The sequence below is a fragment of the Homo sapiens genome, chromosome 13, assembly GCF_000001405.40.
Source record: "Homo sapiens chromosome 13, GRCh38.p14 Primary Assembly".
NCBI lineage: Eukaryota > Metazoa > Chordata > Mammalia > Primates > Hominidae > Homo > Homo sapiens.
Window position 1 is genome coordinate 101997760 of NC_000013.11, and position 25741 is coordinate 102023500.

At 37.5% G+C, this 25741-nt stretch overlaps 1 protein-coding gene and 3 pseudogenes across 21 annotated transcripts in view; 1 reads left to right on the forward strand and 3 right to left on the reverse strand.

Annotated features, from left to right (window-relative positions):
* Window positions 1-25741, reverse strand: part of FGF14 (fibroblast growth factor 14) — a 691640-nt gene that overhangs the window by 286956 nt on the left and 378943 nt on the right. The gene's annotated exons all lie outside the window — the stretch shown is intronic.
* On the forward strand, window positions 4372-5127 carry LIPT1P1 (lipoyltransferase 1 pseudogene 1; annotated as a pseudogene).
* On the reverse strand, window positions 18813-21029 carry L1TD1P1 (LINE-1 type transposase domain containing 1 pseudogene 1; annotated as a pseudogene).
* On the reverse strand, window positions 19194-19310 carry RNY1P2 (RNY1 pseudogene 2; annotated as a pseudogene).

A 25741-nucleotide genomic window follows, 5' to 3' on the forward strand; every position in this document is an offset into this window, starting at 1 on the left:
GTGGCAAAATAGTAGGCCCCTAATAGAAGAGATTACTGTTCGTCTGTCCCCAAGGCTTGGGGTTTTTCAGCCCATTTTTTGAAGTTTTCTTTCTTATCTTTAGTTTTTAAATTTTTTACATTAATTTAATTGTGCATATTTAAGTACACAACATGATGTTATGGGATACCTATAGATAGCAAAACAGTTACTACAGTGAAGCAAATGAATGTATCTATCATCACACCCCTTTGTGTGTGTGTGCGTGGCCAGAGCAGCTACAATTTACTCATTTAGCAAAAAATCCTGAATATAATCTTTTACGATACTTGGAACTCTTTTGATTTGCTAATTGGGTTAAGATATCATATTCCATTTCATTCAGTCGCAATACGCTTCTCAAAAAAAACTAAATTCATATTAAAAAAAGCACTGATGCTCTAATGGAAAAATGAAAGATATCCTTAGAAGGAGAATGCACCATAGGACTTCTGCTTACTCTCAAGACAACATTAAAGAATATTGGAACATTTCTTGGTACAATTATGCAGTATAAGGCCCTGGGAATTTCCTCTTTAAATGTTTTCTCTTGGGCCCTTTTTTGATGTATGATTTAAGACCACAAAAATTTTAATGACTAAACATAATATAAATAGAAGGATCATGTTATTTGTCATACAAACCAGAACTCTTTGGGAGAGAATGGGGTGCTATTAATTACAGTGGGTTAATAGCTATCAAATAGGACTATCCAAAGAGGTATGATCATCTTAGATAGGTTAGAAAATTGTATTAGGTTCAAATCAGTTCTTGAAAGATTGTTGTTTATTAGTTGGATTTTGTTTTGTGATTCTGAAGTATTTCTGAAATGTATTTACAGATTCTGTGCAAGACCTTCAGTCAATGCTCCAGTCTACCCTCACACATTGAAAATCTTCACATCTGCACATAGGCTGGAGGCTCCCCGTCGGTGTATGCATATGATCATGATGTAATGGGAGGAACTTTGTAAGTGGCCAAAATGTAGTTTGCATGCCATCTCGGCTGTGTGGCTTTGGATCTCTCTGCACCTTTGTTTCCCTAGGGGTGAGTGGTGAAGAGTAATACCTATCCCATAAAATTACACACATAGCACAAAACACCTAGAGTGTCTGCTCTACAGTATGTGCTTATTAAACACCCATTTTTTTCTTTTCCAAAATACTTTCTAAAATCTCTATAAGCCAAAAATTTAACCCTAGTATTCTAAGAGGTTCACCTATTTATTAACCCTATAAATGATTTCAAACTATGCTTCTCAGAATCTCCAAGTGAAAAACCAAATGCTAAGACTAGGGAGAGGCAGACTGGGGCATAATTTATTTAGAAAGCAATCAATGAGAAAACCTCAACCTTATTATCTAATTAGTCACAGTACTCATTTTATAATTTAACATTAAAGAAGAATGTGCATTTTTAAATCTTCATCAAAGGTGATATAGATTAATAAGTGATAAGAAACACTGAAAGAAATTGATTAAATTATGAGTTGAATTTCTAGATGAGAGTCAAAAGAAAATGGAAAAAATCTAGCAATGTGTAGAGACTGGGTTAAAGACCAGAGGGCCATGGTGTGGTAGTCTGGGTCGCCCACAGCATCAGCTGTTTCTGCTTTTCATAGTCTCTTTGTTCTATTCTCCTCTTAACACACAGATCTCCAAAAGCAGCAAACTATTTTGCAAAGTAGCTCTTCTTGGTGGAAGCATCTGCCTCCTGGAGATAGGGGTGAAAGGCTGGGAGGACAGAAGAATCCATGAGTGGGTGGCTGCTTCGGAAATGGGACAATTACTTTATTCTCATTTCAGGAGCTTTGACCTGAATTCCACATTTCTCAGCTTCCACTAGAATTCCATGCCATGCACTTAACTATTCTTCATGCATTATCCTCAGTGACTTTTTAAAATGTCAGAGCTAAAGGAGCTGAGAGGTAAACTAACCCAAGACTCTTAATTTTATAGATAAAGAGAGACTCAGAAATGTGAGGTAATGGATCCCATCATATATACGATAAGTGAAGTGCCAGGCCCTTATCTTCTGACTCTTGAAGCTATGTTTCTGTTAGTGGTTCACACTATTTCTTCTCTATTTCTGCCACTAAGGATCCACTCAAAGGGGGTTTCTCCATAGGTCACTCAAATTCCTTGAGTTTCTTCAAAGCTATTCTTAACTCTGAGATTTAACAATAGGGACTTTTCTAAATACATGATATAAAACCTATATACTGAAGCTCAGTATATCCATTAAAAAACTCATGTTTGCCGGGCGCGGTGGCTCACGCCTGTAATCCCAGCACTTTGGGAGGCCGAGGCGGGCGGATCACGAGGTCAGGAGATCGAGACCATCCTGGCTAACACGGTAAAACCCCGTCTCTACTAAAAAATACAAAAAAAAATTAGCCGGGCCTGGTGGCGGGCACCTGTAATCCCAGCTACTGAGGAGGCTGAGACAGGAGAATGGCTTGAACCTGGGAGGCGGAGCTTGCAGTGAGCTGAGATTGTGCCACTGCACTCCAGCCTGGGCGACAGAGCAAGACTCCGTCTCAAAAACAAAAACAAAAAAAATCTCATGTTCTAGAACATTTCACAGCATGTGAAAATGCTTATATTGTTTTAAAAACAGAGTACAAAAAGTAGGTACATTATGATGCAAATATCTGTAAAGAGGCTGTATGGAAGAATATACACCAAAATATTAATGACCATTAACTCTAGGTGATAATATTGCAGGTAAATTGGCCTCATTTATAGTTTTGTGATTTTCACATATTCTTCACAAGTATGTATTTTTGTTACTATAAAAGAAAAAAAGGTATCTGAATAGCAGAGAAACAGTCCAGCAAGGAAATATTCTGAGCTGGCTTTATCTAGTCCATACTTTTTGCTTTCTCCCTTTATCGCTGGCTTTTTGGTCACCCTCAGTTTTCATCCCTGACTCCCATTATCACTGTGTTCCCAAATGCAAATGCTCATAGTGATCTCAGCTCACCTGCTCACTACACCTCTGATCTCAAAGGGAACTAATGCTCCTTTTTGTACTCTTACAATTTGGCTGTGATAGAAAATGCCAATGGAAATGTCCTATAATCAACTGAAACTATAAATGAGAGGCTTCAGCTGGAGATGAGATGGAAAGTCATTTATTTACTGAGGACAGCAAAAGCCTGGGGAACAAAAGCCAAGGAATCCTTAAAGGGCAGAGACTAGAACAAAAGTTCAAGGCTGGAGTTTAGGGAGAGGGTCATGATTTAGGGTTGGGATGAAGAATAGAGTCAGGAAACAGAGAGCATAAATAGCAAAAAGTGATGTCATGGAAACCAAGAAGGAAGATCTAAAGTATTAAATGTTATGATATAGGCAGCAGCAGGAGCAGAACAATTAAAGAATAAATTGAAAATGTTTAAAAGGATTCATAGGAAAAATATTGTATTGATTATTTAAGAACAATTCTGGGAAAAGGACACACTAAAAACATTTTGATACATTGTATTTTATGACTGGAAATAAGGAAAATCATCCTAAGCATAATACCTGGTTTCAGAGGAGGGATAAAATCCAGGAACAAAATTTTTGAGTGATGGATGCTCACCAAGAAAGCCTTATGACAGGAAAACCAGCAAGCATTAGGCTCAAAGAGACTTTTGGATCATGTACTTTCACACCTGGGTGCCCAGAAAATATAATATTTTTACTGGAATAAAGGGATGAGACCCTAAGTTCTGCCAGGTACCCTTGAGGGTTAGGAGATCAAATGATCCACATGTCCACTGCCCATTCTAAGAACATGGGTGTATCCCACACCCGTAAGAGTAACTCTGGAGCTGGGAATATAGATAAAGAGATATACTATTTACATTACATTATATGGTAGTACCTTGCAGGGACATAAGTCCTATGCCAGGGACATCACAAGTGATGTCCACTTAAAATGAAGGCCTAATTTCATCTGGAGTAGATTGGGAACGACTGTCAAGGAAATAACATCTAACTTAGAAACCAATGGATTTGTCAACAGAATAAAGAATAAAGAGAAGAGCACTGCAAGAAAACCAGAGAAAGAGAAGAGCAAAAAGATTAATTCCAAGGGAGGTATGCTGTGTCCTGTGCCCCTCATTTAGGTGGCAGGTGGGAACCAGAGACCCTGAGGCCAGGTCCCACATCTACACCTCCTGGGACCATCCCTGGCTGGTGCTACAGGCACTGCAGCTTACGCTTAGCTCTTGGGATGATCCAATTTCATGATTAGGAATGGTTTATTCCCAACACAGGAGGCTATAAAATATAAAACCTGTGGATGCCAGCTGTGTGCACACCCAGCAAGAGCCAAAAAAGTGAAATAAAACATGCCTGGGACCCTTGATCCCACTGCCAATGGAGAATGGCTTTCAGTAATTCTGTAACGCCTCAAGATTCCAGAAGCTGACTTTAAAAGTGTAGTTAAAAAAAAAATGGGCTTATTTCACAGTTAATTTCCAATGATGTTTACCAAAATCTGGCCATAGAAGATTGGATCCACGCCCATATAAATCTAAAAGACAAGCCAGTTTTTTCCTTTTGGAGAAAGTCTGCTGCTGTTATAAATGATAGGCACCACAGTCCTTGGCAGGAGTGTAACCTGAACCTGTTGAGGGAAGGTATAAAACTGTCCAGAAGAAGTGGAGGAGGAGCAGCCTACTGTGATATGGATAGTATCAAGTTGACTTTCCTTACAGCTGCAAACAAGTATGATACAATGGAAAATCTGAAGTTAGTTGTGAGAGCTCTGAATGCTGTCCAACCCAAATGGAATGTGCAGCCTACCAAAATATTTGCCCTTTTACTTGAAGAACAGTTTAAAATGTCAGGAACAGCTTCTAAGATTAGCTAGATGACTGTTGATCACTTTATTGCACCTTATTACGTAGCGCTAATGGGACTATCTTGTCTTCTTTGGTAAAGAGCCCTTATCAAGTGATTAGGAGCAATATAACTGCTAAGATACCTTACTTAGCTAAAACTATTTTGGAAAAGGATCTCATTCTGGCGTGCAAGTACTGCTGAATGCTATTGCTGCAGAATATTCTGCTTATCATCAAATTGATAATCACATTAAATTAATAAACCCAACAGATGATATGGGTAATATCAAGTTGACTTTCCTTACAGCTGTGTCCTTAGAGTTGACTTTCCCACATTAAATTAATAAACCCAACACTGCTTCCTGAAATTAACAGCAAAGTCACAGAATGACAGGCTTGGGAGTGGATATATGGAAAAACTCCAAAATTTAGTATAGACAGTTACTTTGTTATATGAACAGTCACGCTTGGAAAATTATTCATAGATACAAAAAATGAGAGAATTAAAATTTATAATATTAAAGCACCTAAGCTTTGGTTATCACTGGAAATGTATAACAAAGTAAATTCAAGTCTTATTGCCAGTAAGTTTTACCCAGTTGAAACGACTGTGCTAACAAATATATTGCTTAGAATATGTCCAGAAGACCATGTACTACAGAGGAAATTGAATACTCCCTGTGAATAAAGAGAGCCATGGGATTCCAGGTAAGTTTCTTAATGCTGACAGTTTCAATGAGAAAATAAAAATTTCAAATTAAAAAAAGATTCACTTGAGGGACTGAAATAAATTTGATGAGGCTGACTGGATTATAAATGTGTGTTTCTGTGCCTAATGGTGGGCAGGGCAGTGTAAGACATGAGCTGTCTCAGGAACCACGTAACTATTTCTATGGGAATACAATGCTAAGCTGAGGGACCATAGGCCACAAGATAAGCTTAGTTTCTTACATCAAAGATGTTGTGACCAAGTATATGTTTGAGTTTTTGTTGTTGTTGTCTGGGTGCTTTCTTTTTGTTTGGTTTGCTTGTTTCTTTATTGCAAGGGGTTAGCTTTTTTTTTTTTTTTAATTTGGGCATTGGGAACAATTTACATAGAAAATGCACATAATGCTAAGAAATACCTGAAGAAGCAAGGCCTGCTCTTTCCTTTGACAGCTTTCTTCTGGTTTCAAAAATGGCATCCTCTAGTTGGAACTAGTGGATATTTTAAATGCTTCCAATGCCCATATATATAGCCAAAATGAATAGATATTGAACTTTATAAGGAAATCGAAGACACCACTCAGTTAGTGATCAAATGGAGAAGAAATCCCGGCTTTTCAACTCCCTGGTGCTTTTGTTGTTTTCTCAAATGTCCCCTCTTGCTTTCTCATACCTCCCCAGAGAGTTATCTCTATGTTATTCCCACTGACAGGAAAGTTGCCAAGTTGATTCAAGTGCTGCTGAGTACCAGATTTCATCAGGGAGCTTGTATCCCATGCTTCTGCATTGACTAGCATTATTCAATCAAAATAACACAAATAAAATAAAATAGCATTTACTCCATCAGGTTGGAAGGTAAAGTATACGGTGACTTTAGGAGAGAGGGAAAGGGACATTCCTAATAAACTTATACTTGAAAAGGGTCTAGAAATAATTCCAGACATTTTCTGCTAGTTCGATTACATTTGAGGAGAGAAAAGAGATGAGTCACTTCAGAATGTTATGTTCAATGCAGGAGTAGACAACAGCTGTTTCATCAGACCAGACTGGAATGTACTAGGTTCACCATACCATAGACCAAGGGATGGCATATGCAAAAGTGTGACTGGGAGCCTTCTTTTGAAACCAGAGACACTTCAGCCAAAGTATTCTCTGTAGCAAAACAACCTGATCTTTACTGGAATGTGTGAAAACTTTAGTGATGCTCTCTCTCTATAACAACAAGCCTCTCTCTAGTTATAGTCCCTCGATGCACCAATGAACCTGATTACTGATTGGAACTGGATGTGAGGTTATCTTATTCCTCAGTAATTATCTTGACTGAGTTGCCTTTGGAGAAACAGGCTGATATGGTTTGGCTGTGTCCCCACCCAAATCCCATTTTGAATCCCATAATCCCCACAGGTCATGGGAGGCATCCGATGGGAGGTAATTGAATCATGGGGGCTGTAACCCCCATGCTGCTGTTCTCATGATAGTGAGTGAATTCTCACAATATCTGATGGTTTTATATGGGGCTTTACCCCCTTTGCTTGGCACTTCTTCCTTCCACCATGTGAAGAAGGATGTGTTTGCGTCCCCTTCTGATATGACTGTAAGTTTCCTGAGGCCTCCCCAGTCCTGTGGAACTGTGAGTTAATTAAACCTCTTTCCTTTATAAATTACCCAGTCATGGGTATTTCTTCATAGCAGCATGAAAATGAACTAACACACAGGCATTTATGTGGAGGCATCAATTCCTTTCCAAAGAAGAGATTGCATTAGGAATGTCAGGCAATGGATGACATTTGGACATATGATTTCATTTATTACTGGGATTTATTCTGAGAAAGTAATTCAAACTTTAATACAAATTGTGCAAGTTTTGCTTTAGTACCTGTTTTCCACAGAAAGGACTCCTTTTTAGTTATCATATCCATTCAGTGATGCTGTTATCAAAATCCCTACATGGATATATAATCAAATGCAAATAAGCCCAAGAAATGTCTATTTTGCTCTTGAATTACAGCATTCTCTATGCAAATAAGAGTTTTTAAACTTGCACAGAGATTTCTGTGTTCAATGCCAGCACCATACAAAACATTTAATGTGCACTAGGCTTCAAGGTTTTAATGCTTTTCATCTTTTTCTTTCCACAGAGCAGGAACAGTGCCAGTTCACAGATCTCTCCAATATGCTATGTATGTTTTTCTGACTGATGTTAGAAGTTTCTCTGATTTTTAAAGTTCAGTGCACATCAGCACAAGCAAATATGATATTTACAAAGATGACTGCTGAGAGTTCCAAAGTCATCCGAAAAAGGACATTAGATGACACGTTTTTAAAGGCTTCTCAGCACCAATAAAACACGGAAAAGTCCAATGATGTAAATTAATCTTATAAAACTAGCTAGTAAAACACATAAACCTGATATAATACATGAAATAAATGTCAATCTTTCCTGAAATACTATTCCTGATATAATTTGTAATCTGTTTGGAGAAATGGACCAATTTTGATCTCTCAAGCATTTCTGAGATAAATTAGGCAAAGCCTTTGCATAATTAAGGCCATCATGATAATCATTTGGAAAAGTCATAAGAAAAATTAAAGCAAATGAGAGCTTGTTCCCAAGCTTGCAATTATGTAGGGTGTTTGTATTGTACTTGTAATAAATACAACCACCACTCTTACTTATCTGTAAAGTGTACATGAGCTGAAATTACTTCTCCAGTTGTCTATCTACCCTCAATTTATTCAAATAAAATCAGTAAGTACTAGGTACAAGTTCTTAGTGCTACAAAGGGCTCAAGAGACAAATGGGACATATTCTGTCATTAAGAAGTTTAAAATCTTATTGGGGAAAATGTTAACAAGGGGAGAACCTGGGGAAATGTATACAGAACTCATTATATTTGCAACTTCATGTAAATCTGAAATTATTTCAAGAAAAATTGTTACAAAAAACTTATTTGTGAACTAAAATATATCCATGTGTAATTACAAAGCAATAAGGCATAAATAAAGACAGCTGATGAAGAACAGCAGGTGTTACTTGCCAATCAACAATACTGATGGTGAATACTGGGGGCCTTGGGATAAGCCAGCCAGTTAACCACAAGGTAGATCTGGCAAACCACTGCCTCAGTGTGAGGCCACCTATTTTCAATCTGTTGTCATTATGTAGTGAGACCCTGAAAGCAAACTTATTTTACAAATACCACAAAATATCATAGAAGTTTTGTAGAAACTCCTGACCTTTTTTTAAAAGGTAACTCCTTTTTTGTTCCACCCAAGCACACCCAAACCAAAAGCAACCAAACTGAATTTTGAAAGACACAAGCCTTTTAGTACCTACAATAAGCCAAAATAAATAACCAAAGGCCTTGAAAAATACCAAGGACTGAAATATGAGTCACAAAATCTTACTTCTTTTTTTTTTTTTTTTTTTTTTTTTTTTGAGACGGAGTCTCGCTCTGTCGCCCAGGTCGGACTGCGGACTGCAGTGGCGCAATCTCGGCTCACTGCAAGCTCCGCTTCCCGGGTTCACGCCATTCTCCTGCCTCAGCCTCCCGAGTAGCTGGGACTACAGGCGCCCGCCACCGCGCCTGGCTAATTTTTTGTATTTTTAGTAGAGACGGGGTTTCACCTTGTTAGCCAGGATGGTCTCGATCTCCTGACCTCATGATCCACCCGCCTCGGCCTCCCAAAGTGCTGGGATTACAGGCGTGAGCCACCGCGCCCGGCCAAAATCTTACTTCTTAGAGTGTGGTCAAATACTGATAAATCAGAAAGAAATCAATTTTCTAGAAAACAAAGGATATAACACATTTATAAATAAAGTTTTAAACTGTAATCCCCAGTGCAGCTATTTTAATTAGCATGGTCCTCTAAATTTGTTTTAGAGAAAACAAAAGGAAAGGAAGTAGTTGTTTTCATGAGTAACAAGGGTCTAAGGTATAACCTCAGTTGTGATGATCTCCCTCTGAATCATGAAATGGTCTAAACTGAATATAATGCTTTATGTATAGTGTATGTGTTCAAGTATTAATAAATCTGAGGTATGGTCAGCAAGTTGCATTTTGAGGCAAATGTGTCTCATAATCAAAAGCCATGAATGCATTGCATTTATTGTATAGATGTGGGAAATAGGGCACATAAAAACAAAACTGGGCAGAGTATAGAACAATGAGCACGTCTCTAGACTCCTAGTTAGTGAGCAACAAAGCATGAATCAAGACTGGCTAGGTAAGAGAGGTGAGTCCCACCTCGCTCTGACACTGTCCAACAGGTGGTGACATTCAGGGACTCTGTGACTCCATCTCTTTGTCAAGTGATGTTCATCAAACTCTTTATATTAATTGCCAAGGAGCTTATCCCTGTGAGAGCTCACTCTGAAAATGGAAGAGCTGTGAAAATGCCTCTGATTTTCATCAAAATAATCACAGGGGGTTATTAACTTTTCACTCTATATTTCTATATTTAAAGGACATGGTTCTCCCGGGGATGTCTTTTAGATAATATAATAATGAGAAAGCTATAATGAGTTTCTTCAGTACCAAGGCATTTTGTTATTTGTTGGAATAAAGTGGAGCAGATGAAGAATAAAGAAATCAGGGAATGGGTGTATAATACAAGAAGCTTTAGATTGCATTGGAATGGGTGTATAACACAACAAGCTTTAGATTGCACTGAGAATCAAGGCAGGGATGAGACCAGGCTACAGGTGAGAATGAATCATCCTATTTCACTGCATCCCTATTTGTAATTCAGGTAGAAATTACCATCCTCTAGAGATCCTCTAATTCCATCTTATTAGACAACACTATAATGATCGCCAAGAGAAAAATAAAGGAAAATCAGATTACCAACTGCCATCTAATTGGTGTGTATCTATTACGTATGCATGGGCTGCTAGAGACTGGCACAAATCTTTACTACCTGAAAGCAATGGAATGATCTTCTGAATATCTGTCTTGAAAACATATTGATCCACAGCTACTAAATTTCTTATTATTTCCCATGTGAGGAAAGACCTCTCCAAGTCACTCCACCTTTATTAAAAGTCATTTCTGTTGACTGTTCATTTGATGAACAGACCTCAGTACTCAACAGTGCTATTCTGCACTTCCTAAGGCATCTGTGTATTTTGGGTTCTATAAGTCTTCCCATTAAACTGTGATATTATAGGTCAGGTGCTAGAAAGACTTGACATCTTGCACTGGGAAAGTACAAAGATAGTGACGTTCAGTCATGTAATGTAATGTAATTCCATTGCCTTTGGGTCACACATTTGGATAATTGACAGCCTTTAAATAACAAGATGGTTGGTATATTTCTCAGTTCTTTCCACGTGTTTTTTTTTATTGCTCTCTTGAACTACAAAAATATGAATATGGATGTAAATGTTCATGTTTTCCAGGATGTGAGCAGCTGTTCTCTTGAACTTGTTACGGGAACTAATCTATTTAATATAAATCAAACACATTTTCAGTAGGGACTTTTAAGAACAGTGAAACTGATGTGTAATCACAACACAATTTAATTTTTGGGTGGGAAAGATCAAGAAAGTGTCATCTGTTAATTACTCCTGTTATACGATCTAATTTTACCATTTCTAAATCTGTATTATATCCTTAATAAAAATAAAATATATCCATTCCAATTTACAGAAGACTATTAAAAAATGTAGGTCAACTTGAATATTTGTTGGTTATGAGATTATAAAAAAAATTTCTCCTTTAATATAAAAGCCATACATGTCCTTTGAAGAAAACAAATGGAGTACAGATTTAAAAATTAGGGAAAAAGCCGTATATTTTACATGTTTAACACCTTGCTGTATATTCATTCAGGCTTTACCATGTACATTTGTCCTTCTGTGTATTGTGTGTGTCTATAAGATCATGCTTGAAATCATATTTTGTAACACATTTTTATTTAGTAATACACTATAAACTTCTTTCCATGTGAACAGTTTAGATGGGTGGATGGATGGATGGATAAATCGGTAATAGATATTTACAATATAATATTTGATGGCTAAATAGTAGTTAACTCTATTGGTAAATTTTCCAATCAATCTCCTATTGTCAATTGGTTGGAAATAGTTTTTTATCAGTTTGACGTGCATGAGTTTGTGGTTTCACTGTGCATTGTAATCAACATACTTGTATTGATATCTATACACATGTTCTAAATTATTTTACAATATGATTTTGGAAATAAAAAGTTTAGTCAAAATATATGTTCTTCTGAATATTTTTATGGGATTAAAAAATTGTTCTTCAAAAAGTCTACACCAATTTAAACATCCACCATGAGGATACCACCTTGAAAATTTCTGAACATCTTCACAATTACTAGTCATTATCTTTGAAAAAAAAACTAGTTGTTTCTTGTTTTAACATTTCATTGTGTTACTAATTTTAATAAGAGACTCAACTCATTTATAAGTAGGTAAACTACAGACTGGTTACTAGATTTCCAAAGGAAATAATCTAAAGAATTAAAAGTACCGTCACTTCTCTTTTCCTCTCCTTCCCCAACACATGTTTTAGAAATATAGAGGTTATTAGTGAAGCCTTCCAAAGCCATACAAAGATGATACAAAGAATGATGATATTTTCCAATTCTTCATAGAAACCTTGCCAAGGTTGACTATAAAATTTCATGATCTAAAAGTTCTTAAATGTTGAATGATGAAAATAATATACCTAGAGAAAAATGGAGGAAAGAATCAAGTCCTTCTAAAATTAAGCAACAGTGGAGCAGAGGAAAAGAAGATGGTACTGCTGCTACCTCTGGGCCCTATTTAGTTATTTTCACACTCCAAATGAGCTATTCTCTTTTTACTAGGTGCATGGTGGAAATGGCATAACTCCTCACTTTAGTTTAGAAACAGAACATTCTCTCACAGTGGGTTTTATATTATATAACAGGTTTGAAACAGAAAATAAAGTTGATGTGAAACCATCAACCCAAACAGTTAAAATGGCAGCATATGTCACCAGTGCATAAAGGCTGGGGCTGTTTCTACGGAGAGAGGAAGAAGCCTCGAGCACAACATTAGCCTGGTTTGGTCCACATTTTAGAGCACAGAGATGTGACTATCCCACAGAGATACCAGAACTAATAACACAACTAATCAACTTTGCCCAGAATCGGATTCCTGTTCTATGATGTAACCACTGAGAAAAAAAAGAAAGTGTTTATTTTTTATAAAGACAATGTTATAAGCTTTTATTTGCACAATATGTTGTTGATGCTGAACACAATCCTAGGGAAGTGATCATAGCTGAGTTTCTGGAAAAACCTAGGTTTTAAAGTTGAGGAGACTTAAGTCCAAAACCTGGCTTCATCACTTACCGGCTACAATACTGGGATATGTTAACTTCCCTTGATTTCAGCTTTCTCGTCTGTGAAATGAAGATGATAATAATGCTTTCCTGCCCAGATTACTGTATTTTAGATAATGCAACTGGCAACCGGCAAATGGCAGAATGGTGAAAGATAGGAAACAATGGGGCAGTATGTCAGAGTGACAGCCACTTGCTCAATTTCAATCATCTGTGGGTAGGGATGAAGGATGAGAGAACGTGGAGAAACTTACACTTAAGAAAATCAAAGTGAGTTTTTGTTCTCTTAACATTGCCTACATAAATCAGAATATGCTAAATTTAAGAACTGAGTATATTTAGAATAGGTTTTCTATTTTTAATAATGCCATTGTTCATTTTAGTGTATTATTTTAGTGATGTGCCCTTTATGAGAGGATGAGAGTCCCATCTCCATGGGAACAAGATTTTGAAAACTTGAAGACATTGTTTTTGTTATATTGCATTCCTCTGGGAATCATTTAGGATAGCATTGTTGTAATAACATTTTATTAATTGCCTTCTTTACTATATTTTCCTAAACACTATATGGAGAAAAGTACTGTGATTACATACTTTGAACCTTCTCTCCTGGAGCTTCCAACAAAATGTACCCAATATATTAAAAAACTGATCTACAATCCATATTCCTTCCCTTTTCTTACTTGATTATACCTGGGAGAATAAGACTTAAGTGTCTATTCCTAACGCTGCAGGAGTATGAAGCTTATTCATAGCTGAGAGCATAGAGAGCAGCTCAGACAAACCCAGGCAGGATCACTTCAGAATGCCTTTTGGAAGATGCTTTGCCATACGCAGGAGTATGAAGCTTATCCATAGCTGAGAGCATAGAGAGCAGCTCAGACAAACCCAGGCAGGATCGCCTTTTGGAAGATGCTTTGCCATACGCAGGAGTATGAAGCTTATCCATAGCTGAGAGCATAGAGAGCAGCTCAGACAAACCCAGGCAGGATCACTTCAGAATGACTTTTGGAAGATGCTTTGCCATACAGGGAGTGGCAGTCTTTAGAAGAGGGTTTCTGGAAGGATCACAGAAATGCGACCACAGAAGTGCAAAGTCTCCGGTCATCAAGCTCTCAGAGTGTTCTCTGCAACAATGTGACAGGGTATAATGATTCTATAAATACTGATCTCCAGCTCACCCATCTGCCAAGGAAATATTTTCCCAGCATCTGAATTAAGTGGAGAACTGCTTAACTAAAGGACAGATGAAGCAAATCATCCATCTTCAGCGATCACTCATGGCTTTGTTCATGAATGGTAATTTGTGGTAATAAATTCGTTCTTTTATTTTTGCTACCCAAATATGTTTGTTTGTTGAGATTTTTCTAGGTTTAGCTTGGAGACCAAAATGAGGGACAGGAGTAAAATATCACTGTCTTTTATCATGCTGCCACTGAGGGAGATGTCACATTCAGTTTTGAACAGTCCCTAAACTTTAAATATAAACTAATCAATTTGCCGATCCAGTGACCTGAAAATGCCTTGTGGAAATGGACAGAAGAGAAGGAGGGGCTGGGGGTGAAGGGGCAGAGAAGAAAAGATCATGGTCTCAGCTACACAAGCCATGAATATTATGAAAATTAAAATTTCATTATAATCATAATATTTCTCACTCCTGTGCTTGAGTCTGGAAAGAGAAATCAAAGTCTTTAATGCTACGGTGACAAGTAGTTACTCTCTGGTAACAATCTAGATTTCCTAGCAGGCCTTTGTTATGTCTGGGCCTTTGGAGAATTTTTCTCTAGATTATTTTGTCTGTGTCTGAAAGGTTCATACACATGCTCCTGCCAAAGCTTGTCATTTGGGGGTCATTTTAGTCACTGGCAGGATATAGCTAGACAAACATGAGGCAGCTGATAAAGGACAGGCAATGCCAAAAATTAAGGTCTTTCACAGTAGATTTCTGTTTGCAGTGAAATGAAATAGACTCAATACCAAACAAAGCAAAACAAGTTAAAAGTAAAGTTGTGTGGTCATGTAATATCTTGAGTTTTTGGAGTGTGACAAAATGAAGATGGTAAGAGAAGAGGAACCCCTCCCGCACTGGGGCTTGTGAGGATAGAGAGCAGCTCTCCCGTGGCACTGCCTCACTTTCTATTTTCAGCCTTTCCATCCATGCCCAGTACTGGCTCACATATGAAACCCGCCTCTTCTGGATGTCTGAGCCCCCTTATTAATCTCATCTCTGTTTATTCTCATAAAGTGATGCCAAGTGATCACCAATGGAGTTGATACAAGCCGGGGTATTCATGACTGCTAATGGGGTGATGAATTACCCATTCAAAGCATCTCCTCACCAATTTTAGTAAAAAACATAGATACTAACACAGAATCATGTAGTCCCAGCTACTCGAGAGGTTGAGGCAGAAAGATTGCTTGAGCCCAGGGGGTGAAGGATACAGTGAGATATGACCATGCCACTGCACTCCAGCCTGGATGACGGAGCAGAACCCTGTCACACACACACAAAAGAAACAAACAAAAAACACCAGAGATAAAAAGAAGTAGGACAGGGGAAAGAGAAGAGCAAAGAAAAAGAAGGAAATGATGTAAAAATTAAATGCACTCAGCCTTCTACATGTAGTATTTCCTGCTCAGGTGTGCTAAAATTTAATTTAAAAATTGGATCAATCATAAGCCTTTCTGAGAAAACCATGAGAATAAATGTTAAAAATACAGATATTTTAAGAAAATTACTGATTGCATGTATTACAGTTTTTCTAAGGATTATCTTCTTGGAAGAAAACACTGTCAAATGGTATTTTAGGTTTCTGTCACAAATTTTGAGGTGCTCACAAACTAACTGCTGTCTCGCTATGGAGCTGTTTAAGATGTTCCCCACTGAAACATGAATTTATAAATAAACAGATGAATAAACCCAAAGGAATTGTGCAATTCTTGAATAACAGAATCCATTGGCTGCACAATTTGACAATTTAAACACAATGAGTGATTTCCTAGGCTTAATCAGCCTTCCTCCCAATCTCAGAAGCGTAAGGTTGCCTGGAAGTGTTTATTTTTCATGTTTATTTGTTTCATATTCCCCTACTACCTACTAGGCTTGATCATATATGACATTTTATTTCATTGTTCGGACAATTGTGTCAAATAAGCATTTTATCTTTATTTTAAAACCAAGGATATCTTTGGGTGGAGAGATGACAGGACTTGCTTAGAGTCTAACAGCTTGCAAGAGGCATAATCAGGTTTAGAGCAGACGTCTTCCAATAGAAAGAGCACAAAGGAGGTCAAATGCTAATGTTCAATGAGTGATTTCTATATGTCAGGTACTTTTAATGTACTAATGAATTTAATCTTTACAACAAATTTAAAAATCTATAAAAGTATCATTTTAAATAAGAAGATAATGTGGTATGGAGTAGTTAATGAACATTAAGGTCAAACAGGTAAATGATGAGGCCAAGACTTAAGCCACAGCAGCCTGGCCAAGTTGGAATCACTATTCATAGTACCTGAACTGAATAGTGATGTACACATTGTGCACATGTACCCTAAAACTTAAAGTATAATAATAATAAAATTAAAAAAAAAGACTTCTAAACATTTTGGTTGACTAACATAGCTGTAATGCAAAAAGCAACTTTTAGTTAATTTTTAAATGAAAATTTTTTCCACTAGTGTAACAACTCTATAATATTCAGTATAATTTCACATATGTATAGATTGACCAGAACCAGGCATATTCCTAATAGTGCACGGAAAAAGCTAAGTATAAAAGATAGCCAGGAAGTGATAAGATTGTGTCTATATTTTAAGCATCATCGCAAGTGCATTGACTTGGATCCCAGGTAAACTAAAGCAAACAAAAATGATAAGCAATGCAGAGGAACCAATTATCGAAAAGTGATTTACATTCAATTAAATCAAGAGTTACATTCAACTTTTTCCTCAGTCCACAATAGTTGGAAATTTGAATTTAAAAAGACATATAATGGCTTTTGATTATTCAAAAACACAAGTCTTCCATTTTCTACTCCACAGTCACTTATTTCGTATGTAAATGATTATTTCATAATACAGAACAGCTAAAAACACAATAAATAAAATATGACAAACTTATTTTTTTATATTAATCGCCATGGTTCTTTGTTGCAGAAAAAAGATGGAAAGAGGGCATGAGAATTAAGAACGGTCATGTGTGTAAAATATGGTTGAAGTCTAGATTCAGTCAAAAAGATTTTTCTATTCTGCTAAACATTCATTTATTTATTTATTCATTTTGAGACAGAGTTTCATGCTTGTTGCCTAGGCTGGAGTGCAATGGCACAATCTCAGCTCACCGCTGAGTTCAAGCGGTTCTCCTACCTCAGCCTCCCATATAGCTGGGATTACAGGCCTGTGCCACAACGCCTGGCTAATTTTTGTATTCTTAGTAGAGATGGGGTTTCACCATGTTGGCCAGGCTGGTCTCAAACTCCTGACTTCATGTGATCCACCTGCCTCAGTCTCCCAAATTGCTGAGATTACAGGCGTGAGCCACCGTGCTCAGCCTGCTAAAATTTATGAGAAACATCAGCAGAATTTATACTTTGTTTACATTTCTAGATACTTTTATTTACCACGCATCTGTCTAAATAGAAAAAAGCTCTGCTTTCGTATCACCAAAGGAATATATATTTTTAAAATCTGTTAACTTATTTCACATTGTCACAGGCTCTACACTTGAAAATGTTTGATTGTCAAAAGATCCATAGTAGAAGAATGAATTTAAAAAACAGTTACCTTTAGACTAGCAAGAAAAATGTATACTATCAATTATACATTAATTTTTCTTATCAACCATTGTTCTTAGCAAAGAAAGACTGTAAAGTAAATTCTTTTCAAGAAAATTCATGGTAGGCTGTTTCTAAGTGTTCACTGGATAGGATATGTGGACTAATCATTACACATTCCTTTCTGCCCATCAAACATGGAGGCAATGCATCAGTGTCATGTCCAGACTGTAAACTCCCCATGGGGTCAAGGCCTGGAGGATAGGGTGGTAGGAACAAAACTGTCTCCTTCTGTGCTATTTTTCCAAAGATCCTAAAGCAGCCTTCCCAATAAAATTAAAAGCTCAATGCATGCTGTTACCTAAATAGAAAAAAAATCGACTTAAAGACACAATATGCATTTCTCTCCCTGGATATAGTCTTAGTTAAACTTATATTTTCAGCTTCAATAGCATTTCAGCAAGTTTTGTGCTATCTATTAAAAAATTGCAAAAACCAATAGAAATACTCTCCAAAATTTAATGTATTAGTGCTCAAAACTAGGCTGAGAGATTAGAGCACTATTATCAGTCTCTTAGGAAGAGAATTTTATGAATTTGGTATAATATCCCTTCTCAATAAGAGACAATAAAATTCATGAATTTTCATGAATAACAACTTGCATTTGAGTGGCCAATATACGCCAAAGCATCATTTTAAGTATTTTAGTTCATTTAGTCATCAAAATGACCTTAGGAGGTAGTTTAACTGTAATCTACATAATTCCCATTTTACAGTTGAGAAAATTGTGGTTTAGGGAAATTACAAAAACAAACTATTTTCTCTTCCTGCACCACAATATATATGACTATATGTATTATAAATTTTAACTAACCTGCTATCAGGATAATTTGAAAAGATTTTTAAAATTTTAAATATAATGCAAAATAAATATTTTAAATTTTAAAAATTAAACAAGGCCACTTAGAACAAACAAGGAATAATGTGAGACAACTGAGATTAGTTAATTGCTATAGCTGATTTTTCTAAAAATTTTTATTGTTGAACCAGAATTAATACAAATACCTAGACCTAAACATAATGTGAGCTGTATTGTACAGGTCTTAGAACCAGATTACATAGTAATATTTTTCTTTTATTTTCCAAAGGCAAAAGATTTAATATAAAGATTCAAGATTCACATCATGACAAATGATACAAATTTATGAAATATCCTTTCTTCTTCCTCTTTTTGTATTTTTTGTAGATGGTTTCACCACACTGCCCAGGATGGCCTTGAACTCCTGGGCTCAAGTGATCCATCTGCCTTGGCCTCCCAAATTGCTGGGATTACAGGTATGAGCCACCAAGCACAGCAGTGGCTTTTTCTATTTTAACTAACCTTGCCATCTTTCCCCCTGTGCTTCTCTGTTACTGCCCCCTCCTGTTTTCCTGCTACATTGACTGGTTATATTGACAGGTGTGCCCCTCCCCCAGTAGCATAGGATGTTTACTCTTAGACAAGCTAGGACAGTATAAATTCTAAAAGGACTAGTCAACTGCAGTAGTGAGATGGGGGCAAGAGGCAAGTAGAACAAGGAATTCTATCTGTAACTGACTGTGAACAATCAACTGAAATAACTAACTACCTTCAGACCAGCCTGTTTTTTTTAACATACACTTTAACTTTATTAACATCTAGGTAACATCTGTAATATTCCTTGCTCCTCATCCCCAAGTATGCTGCTAGCTGTCCATCCTTCTGGGTAGAAGTGTATTCTCCAGTTTTACTTGTTGATTTTTGGATGTGTGCTGGGGGAGAAAAGCATATTGTGTTTATAGTCACCCTAGACTGCTAAAGTATATTCTCCAGTAATTAACTCAAAGTGGCCATATGTGAAACATAATCTCTAAATTCTTCAATATCAAAAAATACCTTTGTTTTATCCCTAAAATCAAATGCTAGTTTGGCTGGATATAGGAATCTAGGATTAAAGCCTTTTTCCTGCAGAACTTTAAAGATATTGCTCCATTTACTGCTAGCATCCAGTGTGTCCAGTGATAAGTCTGCTGTCAATCTGATTCTTGTTCCTTGGTAGATTATTTCTCTTCTCTCTATAGAAGTCCTTATTATTTTCTCTTTATCATTAGAATTCCAAAATTTCACCAAGATGTGTCTAGGGTCAGTCTCTTTTCATCAATCTTACTAGGTACTCAGCAAGCACTGACAATCTCAAGACTTGAAACTTTCTTTAGTTCTGCAAAGTTTTCATCAATTATTTCCTTAATTATGTCCTCTGCTCCATTCTCATTATTCCGTTTTCCTGGAATTCCTATCAAATGAATGTTGGAGCTTCTGGATCTATCCTCTCTATCTCTTTGCCTTTCTTTATTAATTATCTTTTTGGTCGTTTGGACTGTATTCTTAGAGAATTCTTCAATTTGATCTTCTAGACTGTTCATTCTTTCTTCAAGTATGTCCATTCCGCTACTCAGATCATCTACTGAATTTTTAATTTCCAACACTCCTGGATGGGAACTTTTCAAATTTCCAATCTCCTTTTTTATCTCTCTGATGCTATTAATCACACTACCTCTCAAGTTTTCCTCTATTTCCTATGTTAAGTCTGCTTCTTTGGATGTCAGTTCTTCTGTTTCTAGAGTTCTGTGTCTCTCTTCTTCTGTTTTCTTAAAAAGTTTGGTGACTCCTGTTGAAATACTCAAATTTGTATGTGAATGTTTTTTATGCTTATCATAACCTATCTCTAGTGACTTTGAGGGAGAGGCCAAACATAAAGTTAGACAGGGTGTGCCAGTTCCTTGACTTGTGGGCACAACTGTTTCCTCTTCCTCCTGGGTTTTGTACACCACCTGGTGTTTCACCAACATTTTCTTCCCAGAGTCCGCAACCAAATAACTAAAGGGAATTTCTTTTTGTCTATGTGAGTTTTCTTTTTTCTCAGTCAGGGAGGTAGCTTTACCTTTCCTATTTCAGAGCCCTTTCCTTCCTCTTCCTCCTCTGGCTCAGAATCCTCTACTGAGTCAATGAAAATAGTTTCCATGCCATCACTGGTTATCTCAACTCCATGCTTTGCATCTACCAAAGTATGACCCTGAAAGGTTGAGTCTTATTCCTTACAGAACACTGAAGTCTGTTCCTCCTCCTTCTCTAGCCCTGAGGCCTCTTCTTCCTCTTCCTTCTCTGGCCCTGAGGTCTCTTCTTCTTCTTCCTCCTCCAGCCCTGAGGCCTCCTCTTCCAGCCCTGAGGTCACTTATCCATCGCCCTCCATCCCTGAGGCCTCTTCATCCAGCTCCTCTAGCTCAGAAAACTCTTCCTCTTAAGTCTCTAAGTTGTTCATCTACTCTGGCTTAGCAACTTTTTACATAGTAATATTTTTCAAATATGGCAGCTTTTTTAAAATGAGCTACATCTGAATCAATGTGGAACTTACAGATTACCAGATAACATTCCAGACCTGCTGAATCAGAACTTTCAAGTATGGGGCTTGCACATGTACATTTTACAAATACCCACAATGAGTTGCATGCTCAATCAAGGCTGAGAATATGTGTCATTATAATCTACCACATTCAAAGCACTTCCTTATCTATCAGTCCTCTATAAATACCAATCACCAAGTTTCAACTCATTGTAGACATTTTGCAAGGCATCATGACAATATGCTCAGCTTTGTGATGAGCCAACCTAACAGTCATGACAATTTTGAGAATATAGTCAGTTGGTCAAACCCTATCCTCACATCCTAACCATCCCAGATCTTCATCTTGAGGTCCAAGTGAATTGGAGTCCACCTAACTTTCCTCAGAAGAGAGTATCAGTAACTCTTGCCCTATCAGCCAGTAGGGTTTTAAGAATCACTTTCTTCTGCTCTATGTCATGATTCACGAGGGTTCTGCTGACCTGTTTCCAGGCAGAATCAGGACACCCTCTGTGTCTACCCACCTGCCTCCCTCTACTAGTGAAGACTTTCAGGGTCCTGAGTGCCCCGCTCGAGAGCATCTCCAGTGCTAGCCTTGTGCCTGACTTCCCTGATTTCTATGACAGATAAACATCCCATCTGTCCCTGGATACCCCTGAGGCTGATGTTCCCACCTCTCCCTTGGAGAAGTAATAACTTGCTTAAATTCCCATAAGCAGTAAGTAATGGAGCAGGTATTCAAACAGGTCTCTGTTTCCAAAGGTCACACTTTTTCTACTTTTAAAGCATACTGATTAAATGTTTCTCCCCAAAATGAGATGTTCTAAGCAAGCCTTTGGCAAGTGCTGAATCCTGAGACATCTGTAATTAAATTCTCTTCATGTTGTACTTGTACTGAAGATATGTTCCATTGCTTGTTTATGCAAGAACTGCACACTTTAAATACAGAGCTGGGAGAGGCAGAATTGTCCTTCTGTTAAAAGGATGAGAATTGGACTCGTATTGTTGCCAAGAAAGAGGGTTATTCTATTCAACGCAGGTGTGAACATTATGGATGCCTTTCATAGGAGATAATATTTAGCTCAAAACGAAAAAGTAATTTTATTTTTGTCAGGTGCTTGCCTACAGCAAAAATAAAACAAAAGCATGAAAGACTGCATTGTGTAACATATTTAGGAAAAACATACACAATACACTCATTAATTTATATAAAGCAGTCATTTGATAATCATGATGTTGATGATAATGAATAGTGTAGGCATACTAGAGTGAATTTCTGAGAAAGGGATGGGATTTGGAGGGAGTGTGGAGGAAATGGGCTTATTTGAGGGAGGGACATGAGAGTGGTTGCAGAAATGTCTAAGTTTATAGGTTCAGTAGTGAAAAGAGGAGACCTAGGAGGTAAGAGAGTGAGAGAATAGGCGGGTATGGTGGCTCATGCCTGTAATCCCAGCACTTTGGGAGGCTGAGGCGGGCAGATCACCTAAGGTCAGGAGTTTGAGACCAGCCTGACCAACATGGTGAAACCCTGTCTCTACTAAAAATACAAAATTAGCCAGGCGTGGTGGTGCATGCCTGTAATCCCAGCTACTTGGGAGCCTGAGGCAGGAGAATCGCTTAAATCTGGGAGGCAGAAGTTTCAGTGAGCCGAGATCACGCATTGCACTCCAGTCTGGGCAATCAGAGTGAAACTCTGTGAGAAACAAAGAAAGAGAGAGAGAGAAGGAAGGAAACAAAAGAGAGAGAGAGAAGAGCAGAAATGTCAGACAAAGAGTGGAAAAGTAAGATGATTAGAAGAATGGAACAGGATTTTGGGTAGTGCTAAGAGTACAATTGAGGTTGGTCATAACAAATTAACATTTTCCCAGTGTTTGTGACTTTCTCTAGCAGCATTTAGCAACTAGAGTGCAGGAACTCTGAATGTGAACAACTAGGTCACTACACAGATGGGATGTTACCTGACAAATACAATGTGTACTCAGAGTTAAGCTAGTTTAGGGCAGCAGCATGATGACCAAATTGAAATGGCACATAAGAAGGGAATGAGGAAATAAGATGTCGATGAACACAGAGATAAAAAAAAAAAGGCTGAAGAATGGCCTCGCAGGGAAAAGATAAACAAGAAGGTTGGAGGGAGAGTAGGTTGTGGTCAGAGTACAAGGTATTTGATTAGTGGTTTTGGAAGTGCATAGTTTTGATGACAAGCTAGGGGTATGACTACTGGGTGTATGTGCCTTAAGTGGAGGGAAGAAAAACACTGGAGATAAGGGCGCCAAAGAACAGAAGGCCGAGAGTAAAGGAGATTATGCATCATTACAGAGGAAGGAGATTTAGAGTTAAGAAGACAGCAAGTCTGGTGCCAAAGTCTTGGATAAAGGAAGAGCATAAGATGGATAGTGAATAGGAGGATGAAACAATGATATATTTCTATGACAACATTCTTGAAACATTCTACTTAGCTCATTTTGAGCTAAGTAGAGGCTTCGTAAAAGAGAGTAAGTGCGTTGTGCTCTGGTGGGAGTGAAGTTCAAGGTGGATATCGTGAACTCCTCACTCCCTAATCCTGGGGAAATGTGATAAGAGGAGAAAGAGCCCTTTGGGAGAACTGTAGAGGAACTCAGATTTCTTAACTCTTACTCTTTCTTGGTGGTGCCCTTTATGAGTAGCTGTGCGTTGCCTGTCACTCAGCAACAACCCTGAGCCACAAGACAGAGATGCCAGGTATCTGGCATAATTGAAGCTAAGGGAAGGACAATCAGCAAAAGATATGGAAAACTGGTTTGCTCTGGACCAAGCAGAGAAAATTGTTCATCAATTAAATTCAACATATATTTGGTGAGAAATTACTTTGGCTAAGAGTCCACAGATGAGATAATTTATACTCACTGCCAGAAATACCAAACTGTTTCCATAGCCCATCATCCTTGGGACCTAATGTGTGTATCTGATACAGGAGGCAGCCTATTCTTTTTAGATCATATAAAAGAAGGAAGCAGGAGCCATGACTTCTATTCTTAGTTCTTCTACTAATAGATCATAAGCAACTACCTACAACCCCAAACCCCAGTCTCCTCACCTAGAACATGAGTGATGATTAACTAGATGATCACTAATTACCATTCCAGTTCTCAAGATCAGTGATGTCATGATTCACGGGGACTCCCCAGATAGAACTGCCATATCTACTCTGCGTCCACTTGGGCAGACTTCCTGCCTAATTCTACCTTACTTCATGGATTCCCTCCCACAAACTTCCAGAATGCTGTTAAGCAGCACCCCCACCCCCCTTACTCAATGGCCTTACTAAACAGTCAAAAAGAGCTTCCTTTTTAATCTGGGCAAGAAATAGCCCTCTATTCTTTAAAGGACATAGCCAGTTGCCTCTACTGGAACTCCAAAAAAATGACAAGCAGGTATCATACCTTTGTATTGCCAGAACTCATCTCTTTAAATGAAAATGAGAGGAGAGGGAACAAATTAGGGGCAATTGGAAGATTTCCTAATCACAGGCCTTGAAAAAGAAAGTCCACAAAGCTGTTCAGTCTCTTGGAGTCATAAGAGCAAGGAATCATTGAGATGACAAGCTAAACTCGCTCAAAGAGATGGCATTATCAACCTCCCTTTTTTGTTGCTGTTTTATTTTTTCCTCACTCCATCTGCTCAGAGGAACCCAATCTTGCTGAATTGGTATGAAGATGGCTGGAGAATTATAAATTAATGGGAGGGATGCCAGAGAACATAAATAGATGACACCGTCTCACATGGCCAATACATTTATTCAGTTTAATAGCCAATGAAAGGCAAAGAAAGCCACTCATTTAAGATGTTTAAAATTGCACAAAATGTTAAGGATTGTATCATAGTAAAATAATACTCAAATGAAATATATGCCAGTTCCATTTTAAACTATAAAAAAGAGAATATCTTTGTATAAAGCCTCTGTATTAATAAACATTGTATTCCGTGTAAGTGCTTAATGTGTTAGATTTCAGCATGTACATTAAACTTTAAATGTAACTTCCCATTATGATATCTTAAGAAAATTTCTCAATCTATTAACAAATGAGAGGAAGCACCTTGTGTGAAGCCTTGTGCTGGGCTCCCTAGGACAAAGGCAAAGTTCAAGGAAGGGCCTCTACTCTAAAGAATTTACAGTCAATTAGGAAAACTGTACAAAAGTAGTAAAATATTTTCGGACACACACACACACACACACACACACACACACACAGCCAACAGCCACACACAAAATACGTAACATATCACCATTGCTAGGTAGTGTCTAACTGATTGCCAGATGTCTACTAAAGAATGTTACAGTTTAACCCTAATATCAGCTGTTCAAAACTCATTTGATAGGTAAGTAAATGAATTTAGAGCACTTATTCAAGGTTATATACCTAGAAAGAAGCAAACCAATATATGAACTTAAAGTCAAATTTTATCCTCCATTTACTCCACTGTGCTACCAACTAAAGTGCTACAGATTTTTAATAAAGGGAAGAACACGCTTGATTAAAAATAGAGATTAGACATCTCATGGTATAGAGCTCTTAATAGAGCTCTTAATAAATTATTTTTATAACAGTTTTATTGACATACAATTCATGTACCGTAAAATTCACCTTTTATGGTGTACAATTTAGTGTTCTT